The sequence below is a fragment of the Homo sapiens genome, chromosome 17, assembly GCF_000001405.40.
Source record: "Homo sapiens chromosome 17, GRCh38.p14 Primary Assembly".
Lineage (NCBI taxonomy): Eukaryota > Metazoa > Chordata > Mammalia > Primates > Hominidae > Homo > Homo sapiens.
Genome location: NC_000017.11, coordinates 40,790,972 through 40,800,670, shown reverse-complemented (window position 1 = coordinate 40,800,670; position 9,699 = coordinate 40,790,972). Strand labels below are relative to the sequence as shown.

General features: G+C 40.2%; 1 protein-coding gene across 1 annotated transcript, besides 1 other annotated feature; it reads left to right on the top strand.

Annotated features, from left to right (window-relative positions):
* On the top strand, nt 712-8,475 carry KRT28 (keratin 28). The gene is made up of 8 exons (NM_181535.3): nt 712-1,227; nt 1,672-1,754; nt 2,280-2,436; nt 3,390-3,551; nt 3,630-3,755; nt 6,625-6,842; nt 7,461-7,516; nt 8,102-8,475. The coding sequence occupies exons 1-8, from the start codon at nt 778-780 to the stop codon at nt 8,242-8,244; spliced, it is 1,395 nt and encodes a 464-aa protein (NP_853513.2). The 5' UTR covers nt 712-777; the 3' UTR covers nt 8,245-8,475.
* Nucleotides 1,534-2,733: an enhancer, noted in NCBI's record as "BRD4-independent group 4 enhancer chr17:38954190-38955389 (GRCh37/hg19 assembly coordinates)". NCBI's record gives its function as "activates an origin of replication core promoter dependent on BRD2, P300/CBP, MED14 and CDK7 cofactors, and independent of BRD4, by STARR-seq in HCT116 cells {active_cell/tissue: HCT116}" and the evidence as "EXISTENCE:reporter gene assay evidence [ECO:0000049][PMID:35650434]".

Below are 9,699 nucleotides of genomic sequence, written 5' to 3'. Positions count from 1 at the left end.
AAACTCTTTAGACCAGCACAGAAAGCTAACCATGATCCAGCCCCTGTCTGGACCTGACAATAGATTTCTTAAAGATTGTAATCACGCATTTTTCACTTCTGCATTTAGTTAACACTATGTCTTTCATTTTAGCACTTAGCATAGAGCACCAAACATCATAACCATGCTATTTTAAACAAAATAATAGGTCAATATTTGTGTCATTGTCCAAGATAATAAATAGATGTTATAATCATGGTAAGAACAGAGATGTCACTAGCCTCTGTTTTCTAAATAACACATTTTTTTCTGGTGGGATAAAATATCTGTTTCTGTAATTAGCAGTCCTTTATACCCCTCCATGGTAATTGAGACCCTACTGTACCTCACAGAACTCTATCATAATCTTACTTAACTTTATAAAAAATTTGATAATACCTGGCGCCAGATAATGACAGTATATGCCTAGGGTCTAGATGAAAGGAAAGGATTACTCACTCAAAATTAGAAGTTAAATTAATAAACTTAATATAGAACAAACCCTATTATATTTAAGATAAGAAATAGCCCAAAGCAACACCGAGGGATGTTAGACATTAATTATTTTTAAAATCACCCAATTATACATAATTTTATGCTAATCTAAGTGATGCCATTTTGCTTTTGGCATGTATAACTCAAATAGGAACGCCCCAATAATGATATATAAAAACCCAAAGAAATTATCAGTGCATGATATTCTGTTCTCTTGGGACATTACAGTTTTGCATAGACAAGGTGAACATTTCTCAAAACACCATGTCTCTCCAATTTTCTAATGGATCCAGGCATGTTTGCTTAAGGTCTGGAGCTGGATCTGTCAGACCCCTCAATGGAGGTGCAGGCTTTGCAGGCAGCAGTGCATGTGGTGGCTCTGTTGCTGGAAGTGAATTTTCCTGTGCCTTGGGAGGGGGCTTGGGCAGTGTTCCTGGTGGGAGCCATGCTGGTGGTGCCCTTGGAAATGCTGCTTGTATTGGCTTTGCTGGAAGCGAAGGGGGACTCCTCTCTGGAAATGAGAAGGTGACCATGCAAAATCTTAATGACCGCTTGGCATCCTACCTGGATAATGTGCGAGCTCTGGAGGAGGCAAATGCTGAATTAGAGAGAAAAATCAAGGGTTGGTATGAAAAATACGGACCTGGATCTTGCCGTGGACTTGATCATGACTATAGCAGATATCACCTAACAATTGAGGATCTTAAGAATAAGGTGAGAAATCACAGATTTGGAACTAACCCAAGTATTTAAAACTAAGAAATACCTAACAAAAGACATACAATAAGAAATGCTTCATGACTGTTATAACTTGTATTTATTTATTTAGATAAACAATTCTTCCTACTATTCAAAAATGGGCCCTTTGATTCATGAATTTTAATGTAGTTAAAATGTTATTAGTTCCATTGTTTATGTTGAAGTACATTCATAGGCATATGAATAAAAAAGTATTGTAGTTCTAAATTTAGGGGAATATATGAGAATAAATAAAACCATGTCTTTAATTTTTAAAAGTTAAACTTGAAACATTTTGATTATTACATAAGGAGGTGAAATTTTTATGCAAAAACTTGAGTAACCTTTTTCATTTCCTGAAATAATGAATCACATAAAAGCATACTTACTTGTTGTGTTCTCTGTTTTGGTTTATTCTAGATTATCTCCTCCACTACTACTAATGCTAATGTCATTCTGCAGATTGATAATGCCAGACTGGCTGCTGATGATTTCAGGCTAAAGTAAGTGACAGAAGAAAATCCTGCTCTAGAAAAAAGTTTCTATTTATTTAATTTGTTAAATAAAATTTCTATTTCATCCCAAGTAGAATGAACTATCACCTAAAAGATAAAAGGAAGCAAAGGATTTGTATTATAATGTTACAATCAACTTATACATAGTTATTATATTCCTGGGACAAAATATCAATATATTTCTCTGCCTGCCTAGAATACTGCCAAGCACAAAGTAGATGCTCAGTAAATCATTAGTCAACTAAGGAAAAACGTTAACTAAAATAAAATTCCAAAATGGTGTATTTTTATTTAACTAGGTTATGCTATTGGAATTTGTGTGATGAAATAACTTCCAATTATCCTGTACAGAATTGAGTGGGGGTAATGCAGGAGCGCTTTCTTCATATATTTTTATACTATTTACAGTCCTAATTCAATTTCTAATTTTCAGTTTAAAGCAATTGGGATTGAATATTTCTGTTTCTTGGGGTAGTCTTACTGGCACTGAAATTCACTTAAATGCCCCCCAAGGTATGAAAATGAGCTCACCCTTCACCAAAACGTAGAGGCCGACATCAACGGATTACGGCGAGTCCTGGACGAGCTGACGCTCTGCAGGACCGACCAGGAGCTGCAATATGAGTCTCTGAGTGAGGAGATGACATATCTCAAAAAGAACCACGAAGAGGTAGGAGAAGCTTTACCTGTAGTCCAATCACAACTCTGTACATTTTAAATACTGGGCAGGGGTTGGGGGTTAAAATCACAATAGTAATTCAGGTTCATTGTTATAATTTGCCAACGGATACAGACAGATTAGTCTAATAATACTACCTACTACGAGGGGATGTTAAAAGGCTTCAATGAATTAATACATATCACACGCTCAGAACAGTGCCTGGCCTATAATAATCACTCAATAAATGACAGCGGTCATCCCTAGGATGAATGCCTATGAGGGCCAGGATTTCAGGATTTTTTCTACTGTTCTATTCCCATCAACCTGACATTTAGTCAGTAACTATATGTTGAGTAACTCTCCGGTCTTTAAATCCCTTTCTCATTTAAAAGAATAAATTACTTCTCTTGGGGTGCTATGACTGTTTTTGGTGGTGGTGGTAATTTTAATTAACAGGTCCCTAATTTTTTTTGTTTGTTTTCTATTGCTTTGTTTTGAGACAGAGTCTCGCTCTGTGGCCAGGCTGGAGTGCAGTGGCGCAATCTCAGCTCACTGCAACCTCCACCTCCCAGGTTCAAGCAATTCTCCTGCCTCAGCCTCTGGAGTAGCTGGGACTACAGGCGCACACCACCAAGCCTGGCTAATTTTTGTATTTTTAGTAGAGATGGGTTTTCGCCATGTTGGCCAGGCTGGTCTGGAACTCTTGGCTTCAAGTGATCCGCCCGCCTCAGCCTCCCAAAGTGCTGGGATTACAGGAGTGAGCCACCTCGCCCGGTCAACAGTTCACTAATTAAATAGATGATTGGCATGAATATGGACCGAATATGTCAATTAAAAAATTGTGTGCCATAAATTATACACCTGACCGCAAACTTTGAGACATAAAGTAACACGTTTGAGAACTTCTCAGACTGAGTGTGAACCTGCAATGCCCCTAAAGCCACACTCTTGCTTCTCTCCAGGAGATGAAGGCTCTGCAGTGCGCGGCTGGGGGCAACGTGAACGTGGAGATGAACGCGGCCCCGGGGGTAGACCTCGCGGTTTTGTTGAACAACATGCGAGCGGAGTACGAAGCCCTTGCAGAGCAGAACCGCAAGGACGCGGAGGCCTGGTTCAATGAGAAGGTGAGGTGGGCCCCGTCTCCCTGCTCACACCTCCCCGGGGGTGGGGACTCCGTGTGACCCTTTTTCCCGGCCCTACAGAGCGCCTCGCTGCAGCAACAGATCTCCCACGACTCAGGCGCAGCCACTTTCGCCCGGAGCCAGCTCACCGAGATGAGGCGCACCCTGCAGACCCTGGAGATCCAGCTGCAGTCCCTGATGGCCACGGTAGGTGACAGCGAAGGTCAGCCTGGATCCTGTGATTCTAGAAAGCCTCCGAGAAACACTTCCCTCTGCCCTTCCTTCTTTTTTCCTATTATACCTTTGCCTGCAAATACTTAGCAGAGAGAGTGGAGGAGAGCAGGAAAAAACAGATGCATAGACACTCAAAAGAGAGCTTTTTCTTCCTCCTTGACATCACTGGGAGTTTCCTTCCTGGCTGATGCTTAGTGCTCATTTCATGAAAATAGACATTTCACATAGATCCTTTCTCAGGGTAATTCAGCTTAGGTCCGCAAAACAAACAGCAGCAATATTGCTGCACCAGAAAATTAGCCACAGGTCTATGATCAGGGGTGTGGGGCTAGTGTCCCACAGGGCAGGGAGCCAGCATCACACCAGCATCTCCTGATACTGATGAAGACATATTAGAAGCCACATGTGGTTTCACCAGGCAGAGGAAGAGAGGGTACACACCTGAATGCCACATGGGCACTGTCAGGCTCTTCATCGCCACAGAGTCCAGGGCAGAGGTCAAATCCCGGAGGGCACACCTGGGAGCCAGGCCTTCAGCCACTTGGGCATACCACCAGCTCCTGGCTTACTTCAAAGGTCAGCATGGCGTCAACCCAGGATTAAAAATGGCTTCCCTTCTAGAGTGTGAGCTGGCAGTGCCCAAAAGGCTTGACTTTGAGAATTACGGCATGCACATGGCCTAAGGACTCCCTTCCCCATAAGAGGTTTCGTGCCTCCTGAGGACACCAGGTTGTAACACAAAGAAGAGAGCAGCTGTTACCCAAGTGAGTGCAGTGAGCCAAAAAGGAAAAGATGACTCAAAACAACGGGAGATTCTTTTGATTTAGCCGCCCTCTAAAGGTGTGTGCTTTCTCCCTATATCGGATTTAGATGGGAGACTTGTTTTTACACTGACTGGCCCCTAACTTAACCAGGATGGCCCTCTTCTCCTCTCCCTCATCACTGCTGCTAGCAGGTACCCGAGACACCCCTGCCACTGTGGGCTCCTGGAACCTTCCTTTCTTCTCCATTTCCCTTCTTCCCTGAACTAGATCCCTGAGGACTCTGTTCCTGCTGCAGGAGCTGTGTGAGTGAATCCTCCCTCTATTTCTGAGCTACGCTGATGGAAATACATTTTCGAGTCCCCAGACCAGAATTGTGAGCATTTTCACATAGAAACAAGGATGTTATAAAGTAGTTAGAGTCTGTGCAGCCAGTGGTACTATAATTTGGGCTCATAGGATAATCCACACATAAAAAGCCCACTTAACACAGGACATAACTGAATTCTAGAATAATGGGAGCATAGTACCTAACTTACATCCCTGAGGCCCTGTTGTCTTATGAATTCTAAGCTCAATCTCCTAGAGTTAGAACACAAGTCATTTGTAAGTTGGGAGTTGTCTAAATACACAAATGTTCACGTTTGCTTCCTGTGATGTACAAACTTTCAAGTTCATCCTGTTCTCCTCCCTCTTTGACAAGCCAGCCTTCACGGTGGAAGACTGTGAAGTAGAGACGCTGTCCTCTCTGACTTATGAGTGTATTAGCAATCATAAAAAGGAATACCCTAGGAGGACGCATTACCAGGGAAATTAAAGTTTTGAGCTGCCGAGCACACGCCTCACTGGCGTCTTGCTACCTGTTGCCTTACTCTCCGCATTACCATCCTGATCTCCTTCCACTTACCTGCTCCTGGAGAGCCCAGCACCCTCCATGTAACACGTCTGTTTGCCTAAGTCAGTAGCTCTAAGTCAGTGTTAGGTTCTCAGCCCCATTAGACCCAATGTCTGCCCGTTAAGACAAATATTGTGTAATTCCTTCTTTGCAATGCTAGAATGAAGTCACTAGGTAATAGATTTAGAAATATACAAAATTATTTTTTAAAGTATAATACCATAAATGCAATAAAAAGGCAAGTATTTTAAGATAAAATGTATTTACTAGGTAAATACTTGGGCCTAACTACCCTAGAAAATGTAATGAAAGAGGCAGAGCCTTGCATCTTCTCTTAATAAATCTTTCATTTTCAACCATGTAAGATCAGAAGTTCCTCCACACAAGAAAAGGAAAATGAAAGAGTGGAAGTTGGGGTGGACACTTGGATAATAACTAATATCAACAGAAGTAATAATTGCCCAGACATATTTATCTATAATAAGGGAAAGAGGAAAATTACCTTAATTAAAGGAGGCAGCAGGTGCCAAGACAAATTACAGACTGTAGAAGTAGCAAAGAGGAAGTATGATATTCATAAGAGTAGTGTCGAAATAATGACCTGTATTGTGTTATGAGATATAGCTCTTGCCTTGAAATCTCACATCTGTTAAGGCACTCATTCAATCTCAGGTACCTTAATAAAAGACCTTTGATAGAGGCTAGAAAATCAAGGATGGATTAGAGAAAAAAAAAGCAGTAGCACAAAAGGCCATGGAACACTAGCGGAGTGGATCTGCGGGGACAGTAGCAGAGTAAGATGGAAACAACAGGTAACCCTGAAATAAATATATAATTTCAAAATACAAGTTTTCCCATATCGATTTTTTATTCTGCTACCCTTAAAAGGTGCTTTAATATATCAGTTGGTTTTAATAGAAATATGACCTATATATCATCAATGTCCAGTGGAACATCAAAAGTCTTGTGGGAAAAGGGCCATTTATCCCGGGTCAGGATCCCACGTCCATCATGCCTGGCCCTCACTTCATAAATGCCAGCCTCCTTTCTTTCCCATTTGATTGTGACAAGCCTCACAAATTTCCACAATTGCCCAGGGAGCAATCCTGCTGATTACTGAGAAACAATGTTCTACTAGTCCTCAGAGTGTTTTCATCCCTTGCCACGGCTTCTTTGATGTCCTCAGAAACACTCCCTGGAGTGCTCCTTGACAGAGACCGAGAGCAACTACTGTACGCAGCTGGCGCAGATCCAGGCTCAGATCGGGGCCCTGGAGGAGCAGCTGCACCAGGTCAGAACCGAGACCGAGGGCCAGAAGCTGGAGTATGAGCATCTCCTCGATGTCAAGGTCCACTTGGAAAAAGAAATTGAGACCTACTGCCGCCTGATAGATGGAGATGGAAAGTAAGTAAAGCCATTTGAAAATCCAGTTTTTACCTCTTTTAAGCTACAAATGTGGGCTGCCCATTAGCCTTCCATACTTCCAAGCCTTTTCTTTTTCATTCCCACTGCAGAAAAGCATGTCCATCTCTTGTTTTTTTGGAAGAGAGTCATCTCTTCCAAATCCTGTTCATCACAGTGTTCTCCTCTGCATTAGATGACTGGAAATGTTCCTGCAGCCATTCCCATCTGTTGTCCATGTTAATCACTGTGGGTTTCAAGATTCTCTCCACCTCCCACAAGCAGGCTTTATCCTTCTTTCAGTGCATACCTAATTTCACTGCTGCCCTGAAATAAATGTACTCTGTACAAACCACCTGGATCCATATATATATGTATGTCCTTAAGTTTTAAATTCTTGGGTGTAAAAAAAAAAATCAAATGGAAACAAGATTTATTTATATTCTCTCTTTAGATAACATTTAATTACTTTCAGCTCCTACACATAAAAATCTTAAGAGTTTCCTCTATAGAAAACTAAGACCTGTTTTTGGCATACAAATTTCATTCATTGAGTCAATGAATATTTCTGAAGCGATAGTAAGCAGAAATATAAAAGAATAAACTATATTTCTTTTACAGTTCATGCTCCAAATCAAAGGGCTTTGGATCAGGAAGCCCTGGGAATTCATCTAAAGGTAATAAAATCTAGTTCTATTTCTTTTCTTTTCTTTTCTTTTTTTAAATTTTTTTGAGACAGAGTCTCGCTCTGTTGCCCAGGCTGGAATGCAATGGTGCTATCTCGGCTCACTGCAACCTCCACCTCCTGGGTTCAAGTGATTCTCCTGCCCCAGCCTCTTGAGTAGCTGGGATTACAGGCACCCACCACCATGCCCAGCTAGTTTTTATATTTTTAATAGAGACGGAGTTTCACCATGTTGGCCAGGCTGGTCTCAAACTCCTGACCTCAGGTGATCTGCCCACCTCGGCCTCCCAAAGTGCTAGGATCACAAGCATGAGCCCTCTAGTTCTATTTCTATCACAGCAATACTTTTACATTAATGGCAGTCATACACTACAACCGTAGTCAATATTTAAGTAGTTTTAGCTAAACTGTTCTGAATAGGAAGTATCAAGTGGCTAAAACTATCCCAAGCTATTATTATAAATATATACTTACTCCCTCAATCAAAAATATGCATAATATATTATATTGAACTAGCAGTGGAATTGTCATGTAATCTTTTTGGTTGAATATATGTATGCCTATGTTTTATTTCTAGATTTATCCAAAACCACACTGGTAAAGACAGTGGTTGAAGAGCTAGATCAACGTGGTAAAGTTCTTTCATCAAGGATTCACTCCATTGAAGAAAAGACATCTAAAATGACCAACGGCAAGACAGAACAAAGGGTTCCTTTCTAGCTGTCATTTTAGAGAAAAGAATAATTTGGGAAAGGATCCTGTACAATTGCATTATTCTAAATATCAGAGAGAATATACACACTTTTTACTTTTAAAGATACATTACTTAGCAAAAATACCTGTTTTCTTAGTTTTACAGGATATTGAGTGTTTGTTTCCAATAAATAAAAAAGTTGATGTGCATTCATTTCCATTCACTGATGACTAATAAATAACTATTTGTGATTTTTTTCTATGTCTCATTCATAGAGAAACACTTGTGGAATATATTTTAATTGCCTTTCACTGTTGTTTTAAATAATAGTCAATACCGCCACATGGCATTTGAATATGAAACATTCACTATGCATAATCTTTAAATCACATCGTGTCTATGTGGGCAAATAATCAAAAACTTCAGAAATTCTCCTGTGACTGAAAAGTCTCACCACTAGATGACGCATTCCTGGTATTTTACCAAGAGCCTCTCTCAAACTCTTCTTTCCACAATACCCAGGATACCATTCCTCGTCTAAACAGGATAATCTCCGGAAAAATCCACAGCAATATGGCTTGTGTTAGTGACACTTTTCCTAGAACAGGGGTCAGAAGCTTTTTTTGTGAAGACCCAGATAGTAAATATTTTAGGCATGGCAGGCCGTAAAGTCTCTATTTCAACTACAAACCTCAGCCGTAGACAATAGATGAATGAATGAACATGACTGTGTTCCAATAAAACTTAATTTATTAATGCTGAAATTTGAATTGTAAATATTTTTACCTGTCGTGGAATATTCTTCTTCTTTTAACTTTTTTTGACCATTTAAAAATGTAAAACCATTCCTAGCTCACAGTCTGTACAAAAACACATAGCAGGCCAAATTTAACCCACCAACACCTGTTCTCGAATGTGAAGCCCCATGAGGCTGATGAACATCATGATTCTTGTGATTATGACTATTTATACCTTTCTGGATCAAAATGTATGGTAGGAATTCCCAACAAATATTAAATTGCCTAAAAGGAAAGCAGCTCCTTTATTTCTCTGGTATATGGCCTGATTCCAGTGAAAATCTCCAGCAAGAGAAGGAATTCTGTCTCACAATCCTCCAGTCACATGGGATTCAGAGAAGTGGCAAAGAATGAGATATTTACAAAATCTTCAGCCAAAAGCCATCAAATGAAGCAAATACTAGAAATCCACAGAGAAATGATTTCCAAATGTACAATATTCAGGGCCAGCTACATAATTTTCAGGACCTAGCGCCAAATGAAAACATAGGATTCCTTGTTCAACAATCAGGAAAAATGTATCACCCAAAGGCACTAAAATATCAAGCTGTTTCCTTGCATCTGCATTTATGTTTTCAATTTGTCCTGGATTTTGTTGTTTTGATTTGGGGTTTTCTGTTGTTGTTGTTGTTGTTGCTGTTTTGTTTCCTTTCTTTTTTTTTCTTTTCTTTTTTTTTTTTTTTT